The 21,345-nt window shown below is 42.8% G+C and overlaps 1 annotated feature.

Annotated features, from left to right (window-relative positions):
• Positions 15,192–15,301: an enhancer, noted in NCBI's record as "active region_25158". NCBI's record gives its function as "activates an Ori minimal core promoter by ATAC-STARR-seq in GM12878 lymphoblastoid cells {active_cell/tissue: GM12878}" and the evidence as "EXISTENCE:reporter gene assay evidence [ECO:0000049][PMID:35858748]".

Genomic DNA, 21,345 nt, shown 5'->3' on the forward strand with positions numbered 1-21,345 from the left:
GCTAGTCTCAGTTTCCCCAAAATCAGACCTAAGTCATGTTCCTACAGTGAACCAAAATAAAACTTTCTTTCCTTTTAGGTCTCAAGAGTTTCACTGTTAAATGTGTCCAAAGAAATCATATTCGCAATCCAGACAAGTTACCCCTCCATAGTACCTGGTTAGCAGGTAACTTCCAGAGCTAGCTATTCATCTTTTTCAGCCTCAAAGTATTTCTTCCAGCTCTAACTTTCTGAAGGTAGTTTTCCTTGTCAGTCAGGAAGGGGATGTTGAAATAATCCCAGGCAAACATTTTGTCAAGAATTTTACATGATTCTTTAAGTTCATAAAATGTTCTGCTCCCTCCCCAAAGCAGGAGGGAGTTAAATCATTTGAGAAAGAATATTTAGTGGAATGGCCACCAGGGGACATTTTTATTTTACTAGAATTCAGCTATACTTACCCTGCAAAAAAAAGAAAAAAGGGAGGTGGTGGGGAAATACTTTATGTCCTTTTATATGGTCTGGATTTGCATCCCCACTCAAATTTTATGTCAAATTATAATCCCCAATATTGGAGTTGGGGCCTGTTGTGAGGTGACTGGATCATGGAGGTGGATTCCCCACTTTGGTGCGGTTCTCATGAGAGTTCTCACAAGATCTAGTTGTTTAAAAGTGTGTGGCACCTCCTCCCCACCTTCCTCCTGCTCCAGCCATGTAAGACATGCCTGCTTCCCCTTCACCTCCACCATGATTGTAAATTTCCTGAGGCCTCCCTAGCCATGCTTCCTGTAGAGGCTGTGGAATTGTGAGCCAATTAAACCTTTTTTCTTTATAGATTACCCAGTCTCAGGTATTTCTTTATAGCAGTACAAGAACAGGCTAATATATCCTCTATTTATCTTCTCTCATTTCAAACCAAACTTGTTCTCCTTCATCAAAGAAAGAGAGAACCCTGAAATTCAAAGAGACACAAAAACATTAGTTTTTGCTGTTGTGCTTTGATAGGCCCAGCTATATTGCTAACGGTAGTTCTTGTAAGCAACTACTGTTACTTGAAGGGTCATTTTGACTATCTACTATTTTTGCCTTTTTAGTGTATTTAGAACAGGCCATTCTTTTTTTTTTTTTTTTTTTTTTTTTTTTTTTTTGTATGTGTAGTTTTATGGGAACATAGCCACAACCAACTTTGTCTATGTATCACCCATGGCTGCTTTCACACTACAACAACAGTGTTAGTAGTTGGGACAGATACCATATGGCCTACAAAGCCAAAACTATTTCTGTTTGGCCCTTTACCAAAAAACTTTGCCAACCTCTGCTTTAGAACTTTATTCCCTAAAATACATGACCCTACTCTAGTAGTTAAGAATTTTAATGGTGAAGTCAGAGCAAAAATTCCAACTAGAATTCAGTGCCATAACTTCATTGGCTGTGCCGTTATCCAAGTTTCTTAACCTCTTCTAAATCTTTGTTTTTTTTTTTTTTAATCTGTAAAACATTATCTGTAACAATAGCACTTACTTGTAAGGTTGTGAGAATTCAGTAACTATAACATATAAAGCACAAACTGTGTAGTACTTGAAAAGAAGCAAGTCTTTAACAGGTAATAGTTATTATCAATATTATTATTGATATTATGGGTGTTTTTATTAAGATTTACAGGTATGTTGGCATAATTAAGAATCTGAGAATTTTAAGAATAGAAATTTTACTTTGTTCAATCCACCTTTGCCCAAATTTCTGTGACCAGAGAATGCCTTTTCAGTACTTCTTAGAACACTTCAAAGACACCACCCTCTCTTAAATCAAAAATAAGAAGAGTCTGTCTCCCTCCAGGCCACTGCCTCTCCTTCTTTCTCTGCCCCTCCCTTCCATCTCTTGGCCCTCACATTTTTCCTTCTGTGATCTAGCCTTTCTTGTGAAGTACTCAGTGTTTCAAGCCTCAATGTTGTCTTGCCCCTCATTTCAAATAAATTGTACTTGTCTTGAGACTAGTTCTCAGTGGATCCAACTCATAGCTAATTGAAAGCCAGCCTGTATGATAGATGAGCTAGTCCTTGATAACATATTTGTAACTGTGGATGTTACTTCTTAGCATTCTAAGGGGGCTTTCTGGACACATACTGCCTTACCCATGGCAATCATTCTAATCAGTCTGGAAACTTCAGGTATCAGAGCAGTGAGTTAAGAAAAAGATGCTAGGGCAAGGGGCCGTTTGACACTCTTCAAATGCACAGTGAACATCTGTCTATAAATAAGACTAGCCTAGAATAATTGCTAAAGGACTACCTGGGCATTTGTTGTGGCTTAAGGCAGGGGGAAGACACCTGGAAACAAATGTCCATCCCCACATGGATGGTAATGACACTTCATCAGCCTTCCTGAATTGGATCCTAGCTTCGTTATGATCTAATCTGTGCTTTTTCCCCAGCATCATACTGTCTTCTTCAACTGGACACTCCATCCCCCGACTTTCATTTCATTACATTTTAACAAATTATTTTTCTGTGTCTGTGTACCTCTGCTAGGAAGTTACTTCCTTTAGAGAAAGGATCATGTGGTGTGTTTCTTAGTGGTCCCTAGGGGCTGCTACATAATAGACACCAAAGAGATCTTTGTGGTAGGATGGAAGGTACGGAGGATGGAAAGGAGGATGGAAGGGAGGGAAGGAGGGAGGGGCTTTTTGCTAGCTTTAGGACTTGCTCTTCAGTGAGTTTTTCTTTTTGCCTTTTCTTTTTTTTTTTTTTTTTTAGACAGAGTCTCGTCTGTTACCCAGGCTGGAATACAGTGGCACAATCTCAGCTCACTGCAACCTCTGCGTCCCGGGTTCAAGCAATTCTTCTGCCTCAGCCTCCCGAGTAGCTGGGATTACAGGTGTGTGCCACCACACCCAGTTAATTTTTGTATTTTTAATAGAGACAAGGTTTTGCCATGTAGGCCAGGCTGGTCCCGAACTTCTGACCTCAAGTGATCCACCTGCCTCAGCCTCCCAAAGTGCTGACATTACAGGCATGAGCCCCCACACCCGGCCAGTTGTTCTTTGCTTGAGGCTTCCCTTGACTTGCTTTCATTTTATGGCTGGGTGGGAGGGAATTAGATGTGAGATAACACCTGACACAGATGGTATAAATAGGCGGCAGCTTAAAGTTCTCATGCTTGACCAGAAGCTGGCAATGAGGCATGCCTAGAAGGGTCCCAGGATCTGCGATGTGGAGCAACTATTGCTTCCCTCTGCAATCTTGGTGCTCTAGCTATAAGAAGGGCACCTGATACAAGTTGGGCTTTCTTCTGGGAATTTGAACTTCTAGAGGTAATCCCAGTAATGGATAAATTTGGAGCTGCAGGTCTGATGGTGGCGCCTAGAGCAAGGCTCCCGCATTGCAGGTGCTGGAGCTCCCCTGCTTCCGTGCTCCCGAGGGCTGCTTGTTGAGTTCTCCTATAAGACTGCTGAGGCCGGGCGCAGTGGCTCACACCTGTAATCCCAGCACTTTGGGAGGCCAAGGTGGGTGAATCACATGAGGCCAGGAGTTCAAGACCAGCCTGGCCAACATGGCGAAACCCTGTCTCTACTAAAAATAAAAAAAATTAGCTGGATGTGCTGGTGCATGCCTATAGTCCCTGCTACTGTGGAGGCTGAGACAGGAGAATCACTTGAACCTGGGAGGCTGAGGTTGCAGTGAGCCAAGATCACACCACTGCACTCCAGCCTGGGTGACAGATCGAGACACCATCTGAAAAAAAATTTTTTAAAGACTGTTGAAGAGCTCTTCCTATAAGTCCTTTTTAGCTTAAGTTAACCAGTTAACCAGAGTCTATTTCTATTGCATTGCCCAAAGAACATTAAATAAAGAGAATTTCAAAGCCAAGATCAAGATTTAGGGCTGGAAAAAGATGTTCTTTTTCCTATCTATGATAGAGGTTCTTCACCTATTTAATTGAATTTAACACTCCTGATCACTCTTCATGGAGAAGGCACTATGACATGTTCAGTGAAACAAAGATGGATTAAATGGGACCTCTGAAGACTCTAGTAAGGGAGAGAAAAAGAAATTCACAATAAATCAAACTAGTGAGAAATAACATCAAAGTATGTGCAAAGTATTATGAGCCACACAGGAAGAAAAGAAAAAAATTAATATTTATTGGATATCTGCCAGATGTCAGGCACTCTACACATATAATCACATTATGTCTTTACTCAACACATTGAGGCACATAACATTATTCTCATTCTATAGATGAGGAAACCAAAACTCAAAAGATTCAGCACCTCAAGTTGCCACAGTTAGTAAAGGGTAGATCTCAAACTCAAATCTGTCAGACTCCAAAGCCCCTGTCCCATCTGTTGCCTCTTGAAAAGGATAGTTTTAGCCACACCCAAGAAGTAGTTGGGCTCTTTCTCCACCTCAAATACTTAATAACACATGCACTTCTTCTATGTCTATGACAAGGGACCAAAGCATGGCGTTCTTGTCTAATGAATACAATATTTCATGGCAATCTTGCCCAACTCTGTAGCAGGCCCTGCTCTACAATAAAAATGGCAATGGCTACTCCTGCCTTTCCTGCCCCATAACGTTTTATTAGCATATGTTTTCCATGTCTATGCACCCTGTGCTAACTGGTTAGCTCTTTTGGAGCAAGGATCACATCCTGGGCAGCTGGAGCTTCTAGGCTTCAAAGGCATGGCCTGGGCTATGTTATTAATATTATTTCTTTCTCTTCTATAAGTGAGGAAGTGAACTCTTTGTACCCACCTGCTAAAAATTCCCCTTATGTTTACTGTTAAATGGACCTCACCTGGAGTGCTCAAAATAACACAGTCTGAAAAAGAAACTATGGCTGGGTGCGGTGGCTCATGCCTGCAATCCAAGCACTTTGGGAGGCCGAGGTGGGAGAATCACTTGAGCCCAGGGGTTCGAGACCAGCCTGGGCAACAAAGTGTGGCCCCATCTTGAAAGAAAAAAAAAAGAAAGAAAAGAAAGAGAGAAAGGGAGAAGAGAGAGGAAGGAAGGAAGGAAGGAAAGAAGGGAGGGAGGGAAGGAGGGAGGAAGGGAGGGGAGGGGAGGGAGAGAGATAGAGAGAAAGAAAGAGAAAGAAAGAAAGAAAGAAAGAAAGAAAGAAAGAAAGAAAGAAAGAAGAAAGAAAGAAAGAAAGGAGGAAAGGAGGGAGGGAGTAAGGGAGGAAAGGAGGGAGGGAGGGAAGAAAAAGAGAGAAAAAGAAAGAAACTACAATAAGAAATAAAAGAACAGGACAGAACACTAATTAGCTCCTTGGATCAGCAAACCAGTATGAAATGTCTGCTTTGTGCTAGAGATAGAGAGAGAAACAAAATTTTGCACACTTGCATTGTCCAGGGGATACGAAGACAGGTAAAGTAATAATTGTGAATTAATGAGACAAAATGTGGTTGAAAAGCAGAAAGAGCAACACAGAATGAAGCAGCAGTCTTTACATTTGAGTGTGTATGTCCCAGAGGTGGAGCAAGACTTTCTAAGGGTATGTGGGTACGGACAGTCCAGATCCTCAGCATTAGTAGTCCTCCTTCCTAGAGTTGATCTGCTTGAGAACTTGCATTTGGCAGAAGTATCATATTGTATTTCTTTTCAAAAGTGAAAAATATCTCACAATGTGAAAAAAATCTGTGCAGATACCAAAATGGGAATACAATGTAAAGGAAGAAAAGAAGTGGTATGAAATTCCCAATTGTCAAAAAGAGCTTGCCTGTATACCTTTTCTCCAAGAACAATTATGGATATCAAATGATATGGTATTTAATTTCTGAAGATATTTTAGAAAGTGATGTAATGTTTTACTAAAAGTCTATTGTACCTGTAATTCTAGTGCTTTGGGAGGTCAAGGTGGGAGGATCACTTGAAGCCAGGAGTTTGAGACCAACCTGGGCAACATTGTGAGGCCCTGACTATACAAAAAAAAAAAAAAAAAAATTAAAAATTAGCCAGGTGTGATGGCGCACACCTGTAGTCCTAGATACTTGGGAAGCTAAGGCAGAAGAATTGCTTGAGCCCAGGAAGTCAAGACCACAGTGAGCTATGATCATACCACTGCACTCCAACGTGAGTGATAGAATGAGACCATTTCTCCAAAAATTAAAAATAAATAGAAAGTCTATTGTTTACATCAGAAATGATATCCTTTGTGACTATTTAAGCTATAATAAAAATGTTTTTAAACATCTGAATATAATTAAAAATGCATGACAGATCACATGGTCTTAAAAATGCTTTCAGTGGGTTGGGAGCCGTGGCTCATACCTGTAATTCCAGCATTTTTGGAGGCCAAGGCAGGCGGATCATCTGAGGTCAGGAGTTGGAGACCAGCCTGGCCAACATGGTGAAACCCCATCTCTACTAAAAATACAAAAATTAGCTGGGCGTGGTGGTGCACGCCTGTAATCCCAGCTACTCGGGAGGCTGAGGCATGGGAATTGCTTGAACCTGGGAGGTGGAGGTTGCAATGAGCCGAGATTGCACCACTGCACTCCAGCCTGGGTGACAGAGCAAGACTCAGTCTCAAAAAAAGTGCTTTTAGTGGCTGTAAAGTTTGTTTGAAGATCAGTGCTGAAAGATGATGGTTGCGTACATTAAGCACCAGGATTGGACGAGGGAATGGGAAGGAGAAGGCAGAGGGTGGACTGGAGATGGTGGTGACAGAACAGTCTTGAAGGACTGGGGACGGCCACTGTGGTGGAGAGGAGAACTTTCCTAAGGGGAACCAGCATGTACCCAGGGGCAGCAGAGAGGCTGATGTGTTTGGAGATCATTGTCATACAGCTTAAACACAGGGAAATGATGAACAATAAGCCAAGGAAGGATGATAGAGACTCATATGGGGGGAAAAAAAACAGCTTACCCTGGCAATGACATTTTATTAACCTCCTTTGTAGTGATTCTGGGCTCAATGTGGTGGCTCACTATGAACTTGAGTCTAACAAATCTGGGATTGAAACCCAGCTGCCCTTCTATTAACTGTGAGAAGTTGGACAGATTCTCTCTCTAAGCCTTGACTTCACCATCTATAAAAAGAAGAAAATGAAGAGTACTTCCTCAGAGAGCTGTTTTAAAATTTAAATAAGATAGTCCATGCAAAGGGCCTAGCATATACTAGATACAAATAATTTTGTTATCATTTCTAGTACTTAAACCTGATCCTATCATCCCCCTGATTAAAATTCTTAGTGTTCTCTTTTGCCCTTAATATAAGAATCCAAATTTGCTAAGGTTATCTGAAGCCCTCCTCAGCTATGTTTTAGGGGCACCATCCACAATTTTGTTCTCCAAAATTAAAATGAAAGAATTAATAAAGTATTATCACCATGAGCAAGTTAACTGCCATGGAGAATGTTACACTAAAAGGCCTCCTCTAAGTTCAGCAGAAGCCAAGAAAATCATCCCTGCACCCAACTGGCCCCCACCATCACTCTGCCATCCCAGCCCCACCATCACTCTGATGCCCCACCCCCAGCCTGTCCCACCATCACTCTGCTGTCCCAGCCCCAGCCTGTCCCCATCATCACTGATGCTCCAGTCCCAGCCTGTCCCCACCATCACTCTGCTGTCCCAGCCTGTCCCCATCATCACTCTGATGCTCCAGCCCCAGCCTGTCCCATCATTAATCTGCTGTCCCAGCCCCAGCCTGTCCCCACGATCACTCTGCTGTCCCAGCCTGTCCCCACCATCGCTCTGATGATCCAGTCTCAGCTTCTCCCCCACCATCACTTTGATCTCCCAGCCTCATCCTGTCCCCACCACACTCTGATGTCCCAGTCCAATATCCCTGCGGTGCAGCTTGTGCCTTATATCGCCAGACACTTGACAACTTGTTTTAAAATGATGCAGAAGAGAATCAACACTCTCCAATTCTGTAATGACAATTGTTTTTGAGACAAAGTCAGTGCAGTAAATGAAATACAGACAGGGAAGTTAACACATGATTGTGAAATATGTGGTTGGAATTGCTCAGTCAAAATATAATTTGGTTTCTTTTTATTGCTTTCTTTTCTATGGTATTTTACAATACTATTTAAGGGAGAAGTTTTTGGTGGGGATGGGAGACTGGAGGCACAGCCATTGCCGTTAGCTTCATCCTACTTCTCAATGCTGCCTCCTGATCTCCCCTCTCTCGTGGAAGGGGGCTGACTGCTTCCCTCAAAGGTGGCCAGAAGGCCTGGAACCTAGTGTTTGCAATGGCCTGACTCTGAGTGCAGCTTTTTGTGTGTGTGCTCAGACACAGGTGTTTGTGTCTCTGTGTGAGTGTAGGGAGAGGGGGAAGGAGGGAGATGCGCAGAACTCATCATCCCTCCTGCAGCAAACTGAATTCTCTCACTCATGACACCCAGACGATGACAAGCAAGTGGAGCAGGAAAGAATCCGTTTCAAATATGTCGCAGGAGTTTGATCTAAAGGAATCAATAACTGATTAAATAACAGATAAAGGAAAAGGATATCCAGGAAAATGCCCATATTTCTAGCTTTGGCAACTAAATAGATTGCTATGGCATTCACTGTGACAGGAGTTATGAGTTCAGTTCTTTAACTTTTATACTTGAAGGCCCTATGAGATAGTTAAATGAAGATGTTTAGTAGGCAGCTAGATATATGATCAGAAGGGGAGCAGGAGAAAGATCAGAGCTGGAGGGATAGATAAAGCTGTCCTTAAAGCTATGGCCATAGATGAGCTTGCCCAGGTAGAGTAGATAGTGTTGAGAAAAGAACAAAAAAAGACCCTTAGGAAATTGCATCATTTAGAGATAAGAAACCACAAAAGAACCGACAGAGGGTTAGAATGAAAACCAGAGACACTATTGTCTGAGTAACTAATGGAAGAATTTTTTTTAAGAGAAAAGAGGACATAGTTAACTGAGTCAAATGTAAAAGAGGTCATAAATAGGATCTGTTCATTCAGCCAGTTATGCTTTCATTCACTGAACAGACATAGATTGTCTACTATGTGCCAGAGACTGTTCTAGATGCTGGGGACAGAGGTAAATATAAAAGAATCTTGTTCTCAGTGAATTTAGTTTATTGAGTGAGACAGAAAATAGGCAATTACAATAGAAAATGTAATAAGTAAATTGAGGGTGTTATGAGCTGACATGGGAGTGTGACCAGGCCTTAGGGACAGCAGTTTTGGAGGGTTGAAGAGGGCAGATACAAACTTGTGCAAATGTTGCATTCAAGGAACTTTGCTTTGAGAAAATAAAAGACCTAGGATAATAAATACAGACAGACAGGGAGGTGGGGAGAGGTGTTATTTTTAAAGACAGAAACAACTTGGGTTTATCCAGGAAAGGATGGGAGTAAAGATCAGAGATAAACAGGGATTCACTGGGCTGGGTACAGTGGCTCATGCCTGTAATCCCAGCACTTTGGGAGGCCGAGGTGGGTGTATCGCCTGAGATCAGGAGTTCGAGACCAGCCTGGCCAACATGGTGAAACCCCGTCTCTACTAAAAATACAAAAAATTAGCTGGGCATGGTGGTGGGGGCCTGTAATCCCATCTCAAAAAAAAAGTGGGAGGGGGGATTCACTGATCTTCAGGCTCCCCAGGAGGAGCAAAGAAAGAGAAAAGGGAACAGTGGAGTAGGGGGTAGAAGGTGGAATTTAAAGGACAGATGGACAAATTAGCCTTGGAGATAAGGAAAGATTGTCTGTCATAGAGATAACCACCAAGAAGAAGATGATGGATGGAGGGATAGGTGGATGGATGAATGGCTAGATGGTGGATAAATTGATGGAGGGATAGATGGAGAGATGAATGGATGGAAGGATGGATGGAAGGAGGGATAGATGGAGGGATGGAAAATGAAGGAATGGATTGAGGGATGAACAGATAAATGGACAGATAGATGGATGGATGCATGGATAGATAGATGGAAATGCAGATAATCTTTGGAACCAGAATGATAGGAACTGTACAAGAAAGTATCATTAGCAAATTGAATTATTAGTCTCATTTTTCCCTCCACTCATACAACAAAAGAAGAAAAAACAGTGAGTAAAAGTATTCACTTGAATGAGCAACCTCAAGGCCTTTCAAAGAATCTGGTAGACTTTGCTGGAAACAATTTAATCAGCAGCCTGAGACATGGGAACGGGGTGTGTGGGGCTCTGCTGGGAAGTGCTTGACAGCATGTGCCGCAGTCCTCCAGGGGAGGGGGCATTCTCATATCAGCAGCCATGAGGCACAGTGATCTGTGAAAGGTCACCCAGGCCTGAGGAAGCAATACATCCATTTCCTCCCCACAGGCTTCCTCTGTAACCTAGCACTCAGCCCTCTGCCCCAGCTGCTTTGTCGAAACTTATCCCTTGAAGGTCACTGATGACATATTTATTGCTAATTCAAAGGGCCTTTTCTTCCACCTTGTTCTCATCATCTCCCATAACCTCTTCTTTACCAAAGTCATTTCAGGGACACCGCTGACCTCTTTTTGAAACTCTCTCTCTTCCCCGAGCTTCCATGACACTGCATTACTGTGATTTTCCTCCTACTCACGAGTAAAGGGTAATTCCTAGAGGATGGAAAAATAAAATTGGTAGTACAGTTGATCCTTGAGCAACTTGGGGGTTAGAGGCACTAACCCACCACATAGCTGAAAATTGGAGTATAACTTTTGGCTCCCCCAAAACTTAATTATTAATAGCCTACTATAGACTAGAAACCTTACCAATAACATTCATAGTTGATTAACACATATTTTGTGTACTGTATGTGTTCTGTACTGCATTCTTACCATAAAGTAAGCTACAGAAAAGAAAATGTTATTAAGAAAATCATACAGAAGGGATAATATATTCACTATTCATTAAGTGGAAGTGGGTCATCATAAAGGTCTTCATTCTCATCTTCTTCACATTGAGGAGGCTGGGGGGTGGGGGAGGAAAACGAGGTGTTGGTCTTGCTGTCTCAGGGGTGGCAGAAGTGGAAGAAAATCTGCATATAAGTGGATTCACGCAGTCCAACTCGTGTTGTTCAAAGGTCAACTATATAACCCAGTGAAGGATAAATTTGTTATTACACAGTTCTTACAATGGCCATAAGGTCCAGAAAAATCTGACCATCTCTCTTACTAATCTCCACTCACCCACTGACTCCACTCCAGCCATATTGCCTTTCTTGCTGTCCTGGAGATGCACCAGGTATATTCTTGCCTTTGCTAATCCTTCTGACTGGTGCACTCTTAGCCTTGATATTCTCATAGCTGACTCTTTCCCCTCTGTAAAGTGTGTTTACTATTATTCACTACTTGAGAATATTGAATTCTGCTCTAAAAGATGAGAAAAACAATGGGGTGGATGAAATTTCTAAGATTTGTTAAATATAGTATGTACCTTATAAGACATGTTAAAGAGAGATATAATGAATGAGATATAGGATTTGTAAACCACAAAATAATCAAGAGAGCTATCTCTATAAAGAAAGGGATAGAAGAACCAATGGTAAGGTATGGATCATACCACCTCCAGGCTGACAGCTGTGTCACCCCAAACTGCTTGCCCATGGATGATATGTATTGTGGTCCTTCCTCTGACGCCACATGTGTTCCGCCCAGCAGAATCAGAAAAAGCTCCCAGCTGCTCAACAGGCTAATAATATGAGCCACAGCTATTGACCAGGAGTGCTTGGTGCTGAGTCTCTCTAATAAAGCAAGTGTGCATTGGCCATAGGCACCTCTGTCTGCTGAGCTCCAAGTCTGGTCCTTATATCCTCACCATCGGGGGGAAGGCTAGGGGAGAGAAGGGAACACAGGAGGGGGACAAAAAGAAATAGGAAGAGTATATTAACAATGTGTAAGCCAGCATTCATATACTGTGGGTTCTACCTGCTTCTACCTCATTGCAAGTATTTCATATGTTAACTTACAGCATTTCTTTCCTCTTGCTTCTCATCATGTGTTTTAGGTTGATTTGATAATCTGCATGATTTGAACATCCTAATTTGGTCTGTGAGCCTCTGTTCCATGACAGAACAGCTTGCCTGGTACTTGGAGATTCCCATCTTGTTGAGGTAATTTCCCACGACAACCTCCTTCAAGTCTTTGCTTAAATGTCATCTTCTCAATGAGGCTGATGCTGAATGCCCTGCTTAAAAATGGCAGTTTTCCACTGTCAGCCCTCTTAGCCCACTGTGTTATTTTTCCTTTTTCAAATTATTTTCCAACATATATAATTTACTTGTGTATTACAGTCATTGCTTATTGTCTGCTGATGTTGATGTTGGAGCTGATGTTGATTTTCCCACCTTTGTAAACTGTGAACACCTCAGCACCATACTATTTCCTTCACTCAGGCCTGGTGTGTGACAACACCACAACAAATATTTCTGAGCACCCACAGTGTTCCAGGCACTGTTCTGGGAATGTGGGCTATCACCGAATAAAACTCCCAGAGCTTATCCTGAGATAAACTCTTCAGGTTTGTCTGTTTTATTCGATGATAGCCTACATTTCTTGAACAGTGCCTGGAACACAGTAGGCGCTCAAAAATATTTGTTGTGGTGGTGTCACACACCAGCCCTGAGTGAAGGAAATGACATAGTGATGAGGTGCTCACAGTTTATGAAGATGGGAAAATCAACATCAACTCCAACGCCAAGCAACAACAGTGATGAAAAGTTTACACTGCATAGCCCCAGGAAAGGTGGAACAAACCATGGGTAATTTCAGTACAAAAGACAGGAATAAAAGGAAACCCTAATAACCATCTTTGGACATATGGTAAAAATGTTTAATGTTTCTTGTCTCTCATTTCTAGCAGACTTATAAAAAATAGATTTTTAATTGGTGTTATCAGATTAATTTCTAATAAACATTATTTTCTAAACTGAAGATTGCAAATTCCACTGCTTAGAGGGGCTAAGCAAATAATTAAGAGAAGAAAGAAGAGGGTAAAAGAATAGGGCATGATGTGGATACTGGTGAACTGGAAAATCCAGACCCCGTTCATGAGAATAACTCCTCCTTGGCTTCAGCCAAGAGTCGAGACTCAGGAATGTAGGCCTGATGTTGCCACATCTTTTTGTTCAAGAATGTTCAGAAATCCAAATTCTTCCCCCCGCAAACTTTCCAATTTTTAAAACTTGAGCCAAACAAAATACATTATTTTGGCCTTCCAATTGATGACCGCTGGGTTGTATTCAAGGCCCCTGCCCTCTGTTGTCAGCTTCCTTTTTTAGCCTGCATCACTCTCCTTTCTCAACATAGGTCTTCCTCTCCTTGTAGCCATCTTTATCTGATTAGTCAGTTCAGGCTTCTATAACAAATGATTGCAGACTGGTGGCTTCAAAACAAACATTTATTTATTGCAGTTCTAGAGGGTGGGAAGTCCAAGATCAATATGCTGGAGGATCTGGTGTCAGGTGACGGCCTGCATCCTGGTTTGCAGATGGCGGTCTTCTCATTGTATCCTCATATGGCAAAGAGTTGGAGCAGGGGGTGGAGGATGGTGCTAGCTCTTCTTATAAGAACACTAATCCCATAATGAAGGCTCCAACCTCCTGACATAATTACTTCGCAAATGCTCCCTCTCCCAATACCATTACATTAGGGCTACGGTTTCAAATATAAATTTTGGGGGGAACAAACATGCAGTTAATAATAAAACCCTATTCCGGCAGCACCCTTGTGCGGCCAGTGTTCCATTGAAGATTGCCGCTTTATGCCACAGAACCCATCTCATCCCATCTCTCCAATCCTCGGTTCTTTAAATACATACAGATCAAGACCCATCATATCCTCATAATTTCTCAGACCACTCTTATCTACAGCAATGCATCTTAACAATTTTTATGGCTTTTGGATTAAATCATCTATTGCCTTATGACATTGGACAACTTTCCTATGTACGTGTATTGTTTCCCCAACTAGATTGTAAGATTTTCAAGGGTTAGTGGCCAGTACTAGAGCACATACAGTTGTTGGTGTTAGAAAGATTGGGTTTTAATCTGGTTTTGCTATCTATTAATGTAACATTGAGTTAGTGATTAAACTTCTCTCAGCCTCAGTTTTTTTCTCTATAAAATGCAAATAATATTTCTCCATAGAGATGTTGCAAACTTTAAATGAAATGAATAGAACATGGACATCTTGATGAATAAGAAAAGTACCTGGCAATTAACAACGTAATTGTTTTTATTTCTGTAAAAATTCTTACTGCTTTTCATCCCCTGTGATGCTTTGTGTAAGTTTTTGCCCAACAGAATATTTATAATAAGCATATGTTGTTTTCTGATTCATATAAGAGAACGTTGTCTTTGCTACAATAAGGGCATTTTATGCCTGGATTTAATGTTTGGAAATCTCCAACATAGATTTGAAGAGCACACATATCTCTGATGATTCAATAACAATTTTGCCCATAAACAGGACAGTAAGACAGAGAAAACTTTCAGAATTTCCTTCATTCTTGTAATTAGAGTTTATCTAAAACACTGGTTCTCAAATGGAGGAAGAGGGGAGTTTGCTCCCCAGAGGACATTCAGCAATGTCTGGACACATTTTTGGATGTCACAACTGAAGGACGTTACTAGCACTGAGCGGATAGAGAGAGGCCAGGGATTCTGCTAAATATCCTACCATAAGAAGAACAGCTCCCTGCCCCCTAAAAAAAGAATTATTTGGCCCAAGATGTCATTATCGCCAAGGCTGAAAAACCGATCACCATTCCTAAGATCTCTCCCATCCCAGAACTCCCTGCTAAGTCAAATTAATTAGACTGAGGAGAGAGCAAGTTGGTGACGGACCTGAAGAATAGCCCACGTAAGTGGTGGCTGGTCAGTGCAGAGTCAAGCCGCCAGCTCTGGAAGATCTCTTCCCAGCTTGCAGACTTCTGGAAGCGCTGAACTGGAGGCAGCCTTCTCGTTTCCATCACAGGAAGCCATTGCTGTCAATGTGTGTCTGAATACCGTTTATTCCCTTCTTGAGTAATTTCACTTATTTCCCTACACAATGTAAACATGGAAACCAACATTAATGACCTCTTTGAAGGATATTGAAAAAAATCAGTTTTGAATGCAAGCTGGGAATTATGCTAATGTAAGACTTACTTAAAGGGACTAGAAAACTTTGTAAATGTAAATTCATTCTCATAGTTTCCCAAAGAGACAACTGCTTTCATAAGAAGGTCAAATGTCTGTCTTGCACTCACACATCGAGGCTGTGAATAAATGTGGTTATAGCACTGGTTTCCTCCCTCGGAAACTTCCTACATCAGCAGCTTGGTTCTTTTCTTTAGTTAAATATGATCTAGTTGGAGGTGAAGTGTTTTTCTTTTTGCTTTTACTTTCTTTTTAAATTGCTTTCCCTCCCTCAATTTCTCCAGCCCTTTTTTCATCTTTTACTTCATTGCTTTCTCTCATACTTTATTCCTTCCTTTCTTTACAGTTGTAGGAACAAGAAGAAAAATTCTCAGTTATGTTTGCTTTCCAGGCCTCTATTCATTAATACCTGGGCTTTAAAAGGTTTTTTTTCTCTTCTCTTTTATAACATCATGCTGCCATCCTGTGGCAAATTTAAATATTCAGCTAGTCAAAGAAATGCAGCGTTCAAAAATCACTTAAATACCTGAAAATACACAACCATGCAGTTGGAGCCTCAGTCGACCAAGAGTGGATGCCATCTAACATTGTGATTTAAATCCCAAGGCCCAAAGCTATATTTCTCTTTTCCCTGAAGGCTGTGATTTCTCCCAGGAAGGAGGCATACTTTATTTCCAAACTGAGTATAGAAAAATCCAAGTATAGAACAAATTTGGTACGTAGGCCTATGGCATGTTTGAGGTCCTGAGAAGGAACTTCTGTGGTTTTGAGTGTTTAGAGTGATTTTCTCTCAAGTCGCTGGTGCAGATTCAAGATCTGCTATATTAACATGAGGGAACTGCCCAGGTCAGTCGTGGCGTTGATGTCAACCTACATGAGTAGCCAAAAGTCAAATACTTTGGGAAAGACAGAACACAACACAAAAAAGTTAGGGTGATTATTTTTAAAGATCAAAATAGTATTTGCTCAATAAACAAAGCAAATGTCTATTCCATTCTTGTAGCGGGGGTGTGTATCCTCACAAAATGCACAGTTGATATTTAATAAAAGTTCTCAACCATCTGGATTCCTCAAATGATGCTAGACCTCAAACCCAGCAGGTCCAAGATGGAATTCATTCATCCACTTTCTCATTACCAGCCCCCACATATCACCACACTCACAAGTGTGCACTCACACTCACACACACACCCTATGTCAGGAAATGGCATTACCACCACCCAGCTCCTCAAAGCAAAACTCTAGGTGGCCTCCCTGAAACTACCCCCCACCCACCCCACAATCCAGCACTAAGTCCCTTTAACTTTGCCTCTTAATCTCCTCCTTCCTGTCCCCTTCATCCCAGCCTCATTGCTGTAACCCTAGTCCAAGTGACCAACATCTCTGGCCTAGTTTAGAAGCCTCCTTTCCCATCCTGCCTCCCTACACACACAGACACAAACATATGCACATACACACACACAGACATACACAACATAGTCTCCACACTGCAGCCAGAAGATCTCTTTAAAATACAGATCTGACCACGTTACTGTCTTTAAGTCCTTCAAGAGCCTCCCTTGTCCTCAGATTAAAGTCCAAAACCTCTACCCTGGCCCTGAATCCCTGTCTGCCTCCCCAGCCCCTTTTGCCCCATCTATATTTGGTTATTTAAAGCAATCTCTATTTTCCCTGTTACGAGAAGGTAGACGTTATGGACATTGTGTTTGCTACATAGTTAATGCATTGACTTAACCTACCTCTACACATAGCTTTGAGCAAACGTGAGAGAATAGAATATTAGCATGAGGAAGACAATTGGCTCACTGCCCCAGGTTCCAGGTAAGCACCAGACCCAGCCTGGGGCACTTGCTGAGGGTCCCTTAGCTGGTCTAATGGCAGACGTGGAATTAAAGTCCAGTTATTCCAACAACCAACTCTGAGCACTCTCTGTGGTATAAGGAGGGGTGGGACGGGTGTTTCCTTTGGCGCACATGTTGAAGTGAATAAGGGTTGGGGAATTGGGTGCAAGTCTGGTTCTCAGTGCTTTCATTAGCCTGAATCACCTGCTGTTTCCCTCTGCTTGCTTTCTTTTTGTTTGTTTGTTTGTTTGTTTGTTTGAGACAGAGTCTCACTCTGTTGCCAGACTGGAATGCAGGCTCACTGCAACCTCTGCCGCCTTGGTTCAAACGATTCCCCTGCCTCAGCCTCCCAAGTAGCTGGGATTACAGGCGCCCACCACCAAGCCCAGCTAATTTTTGTATTTTTAGTAGAGATGGGGTTTCACCCATGTTGGCCAGGCTGGTCTCAAATTCTTGACCTCAGGCGATCCACCCTCCCAAAGTGCTGGGAGGATTACAGGTGTGAGCCACCGCGCCCGGCTTGCTTGGCTTTTTAACTCTGAGTTCTGTGGCACTCTTTGTTTAGAAACCCTAAACAGTTCGATTCTATGATTGTGTCGTTTTAGGGTGACCATTACAGAGTGGTTTTGATATGCTCCAGAGAAAGGAAAGAGAAAGAAAACTAATGTTGTTATTCCCAGAGTTCACAGCCATTCTAAAACATTTGTTACTCTCCGCAGTCCAAAGATGAGGAAACTTCTTACTTCTCTGGACCAAAATATCCTCATCTTGGACTGGGGAGAGCAACAGATGTTTTTAGATACCAATCTTGATCTCCAGGGAGTGTGTGTCAGACCTCACAGATGGAATGAGGGGCTCTTAGGAGACATTGCGGGGAGTGGGAGACTATCTGATTTTTGCTATTGAATTTGGTCTTGGGAATTGGCTAAAAGCAGAATTTTCCATTCCCCATCACAGGCAGAAGCACAAACCATAAGCTGGACCAAAATTATACAAACTTTTGTTAGGATTCTAGAAACTCTGTACTATGCTAATTTTTGTTATCTGTATTATATTTGTTACTTGTCTTACATATTTGTGATAAGCAATAATTCCTTTAAAATCAAAAGGACCTAATGACTTATCTTCTGAGATGACTAGGAAGGGAGGGAACGTGGGGAAGGAGGGGACCTGGCCCTCAAGGGACAGTAAAGATAAGGAGGACTGAGTCACCGGAGCCTGCTGTAAAGGAAGAACGAAAGAGCCTAGAGGTATGTGCTTGAAAAGAGGCCCTGGGCTGAGTAAGAAGCAGAAAAGCTGTATGAAGTTCTCTGACAGGTGCAGGGCTGATGAGGGAGTCACTGTGGTTCACACCTGGGTGGGAACAACTAATATACCTTTCAAAACCTTCTTCCCATAAAAGAAGAGTTGGTGGATGCCAAGTTTGCTATATGAATGGCATGCTGACTAAAAAGGGCCAGGTTCATCTGAGAGCATGACTGTTCCTGTTCAGGGCCACCTGGACAGTGGTCCGAGGCATCTGATAAATGTGCAGGAACATGTCACTTATTCTTCACTCATTTTTCTCCTCTAAAACCGAGGACTAGTAGCCACCAGTCTGGGCAACTGGTACAAAGGTGAGTCACAGTCATCAAAAGCCGTAGGCTGTATTCCGCACATTAATCTTTTACCCGCTGTGTTGCATTTATCATGCACCATACATTTAAGGGAAGTCATTTTTGAGGCACGCCAGTGTTAATCTTTCTTTTTTTTTTTTTTCTGAGATGAAGTCTCGCTCTGTGGCCCAGGCTGGAGGGCAGTGGCGCGATCTCAGCTCACTGCAACCTCCACCTCCCGGGTTCAAGCAGTTCTCTGCCTCAGCCTCCTGTGTAGCTGAGATTACAGGTATGTGCCACCACGCCTGGCTAATTTTTGTTTTTGTTTTGTTTTGTTTTGAGATGGAGTCTCGCTCTGTCACCCAGGCTGGAGTGCAGTGGCACAATCTTGGCTCACTGCAACCTCCACCTGCCCAGTTCAAGCGATTCTTCTGCCTCAGCCTCCCAAGTAGCTGGGTCTACAGGTGTGCACCACCACACCCAGCTAATTTTTGTATTTTTAGTAGAGACGGGTTTCACCATCTTGGCCAGGCTGGTCTTGAACTCCTGACCTCGTGATCCACGCACTTCGGCCTCCTAAAGTGTTGAGATTACAGGCGTGAGCCACCACACCCAGCCCAGTATCAACCTTTCTACCACACCACCTTCCAAGAAAAATCAAAGCTTTGGTCAACACCACTCTGCCTCTCCACTTTAGATAAACTCCCTTGCATCCACCCTCAATGTCTACACCGCTTTCTCCCTTCCTCATGCTTGCCTGGCAAAACCCAATCCTGGTTAAATCAACCTTCTGTCACTCTGTGCCTGCATCTCTGCAGCTGCACATGGCTGGAAAAACCACCCAACCATGGACAACTGGACTTATTTTAAATTCTTGAGAGCCAATGCCTAAGGTTCTCTTAGGCCCCTGGAGGACCTCAGGCAGTTCTAACTTATTTCCCTGGTCAGCTCACTTTTCTGCCCTTTTAAATGACGCTCCTACAGCTCCTCCTCTCTCTCCAGTCTTCCATCACATTCTCCCCTTGCTTACCCTCAGCTGAGCATATTGCTTGTCATTTCGCTAAGAAAGAAGTTGCCAGAAATTTCACACACTGCCCCCTCCACCTGCATCTGTGCCCAAATAACTTGCCTTTCCTCCATTACTCTGGATGAATAGTGCATGAGCTAATAATTTGGTTTTTGAGACAGGGTCTCACTATGTTGCCCAGCCTGAGCTCAAGTGATCTCCCACCTGAGACTCCCAAGTAGCTGGGATTATAGGCACAAGCCACTGTTCCCGGCATGAGCCAATGAATCTAAAGCCAACTGGTACCTGTCCCTCCCTTTTCACCTGCTGGAGAATACCATGATCTTTTTATCGCATCTATTATTAATGCCCCCCACCTCCTGGATCAGTCCCATCAGCATACACACACGTTGTACAATCTCCCAAGTCACACACACACACCCCCTTCTGAAACCCACTTTTGCCTCCAGCTGTTACCCCATTTCCCTTCTTCCTTTTACAGCAAAACTCCCCAAGTGGGTTTTTAACACTCTGTGATCTCCACTTCCCCTCTTCTCGTGCTCTCTTGAACCCACTATAGTCGAGTTTTTTCCAGACCAATCCACTGAAACGGTTCTTGTCAAAGTCAGCAACCTGCACGTTGCTATGCTCAATGGCCAGTTCATGGTTTCCTTCATGTTGGACCTACCAGCATCATCTGCTGTTCATCTCTGCCTGCATGAAATACTTATTTCACTTGGCTTATAGGTTATAACTTCCTTTTAGCTCTTCTCTGAACTTACCGGCCTCTCCTTCTTGGTATTCATTGGGATTCATCCTCATAGAGCTGACTTCTGGAGGTGGGAGGGGCCCAGGGCACCATCCTCTGACCTCTGTCATTCTCAAACTACATTCACTTCCTATATGAACTTAGCAGATCTCACAGTTTTCAGTGTCACTACAGGCATGCAACTCCCACAGTGCTCTCTCCAACCTGCACATCTCCACTGAATTCCATACTCCTGACTCTGCCTGCTGGACATCTCTGATGGGCCATATATCACAAGTTGTTCTGTGTTTGGCCACCAAAAGCTACCTGTGAGTGAAGCCCAGCTCTTCCACTCAGCAGACATATGTGCAGAAAAGACTTGCCATATAAGGTCTGACTTCTAGCTTTAGAAAGGCCTTCCTGCAAGATTAACCTCTGGCTGGCATCTGGGAACTTGGATTCCAGGAAGGACCTCTCCACTTTCAGAAATAAGAGTTGATCACTATGCCTAAAGTGTGCGAACAACATGACTTATGCTCAACAACTTTCCTTCTGGGAGTGTGAAATTTTGACATTTGGGCAGAGGGTGCCTACATGGCCAGCCCCCAGTTGAAAACCCTGGGTGCTGAGTCTCTAGTGAGCTCCCCTGATAGCCACCTTTTCACACGTTGTCACCACTCATTACTGGGGTAATTAAATGTGCCCTGCGTGAGTGCCCTCAGAAGCACGTGCCTGCTTTCTCCTGAACTGCTCCCCCTGCACCTTTTCCCTTTGCTTATTTTGCTTTGTATCTGTCGCCGTAATAAATCATAGCCATAAGTATAACTGTGTGCTGAGTCCTGCAAGTCCTCCTAGCAAATCATGAATCTGGGGGTGGCCTCAGGGATGCCAAACACATCTGAGCAGGTCACTGCAGCTTTCTGTGCCTTGGTTTCCTCATCTGTAAAGTCGGAATAATAATCGCGCCCAACTAAGCTGTTGTAAGGATTAAATGAGTTAATATATGTAAAGAATTTAGAACTGTGCCTGGCCCGGAGTAAACACCCAATAAATATTACATTATCTCAAACACAAATGTTCAAGAACATTTGTTAGATAATACAGGAGCTTGGGTAAGAACCTG

The sequence above is a fragment of the Homo sapiens genome, chromosome 6 (genome assembly GCF_000001405.40).
Source record: "Homo sapiens chromosome 6, GRCh38.p14 Primary Assembly".
NCBI classification, from domain to species: Eukaryota; Metazoa; Chordata; class Mammalia; order Primates; family Hominidae; genus Homo; species Homo sapiens.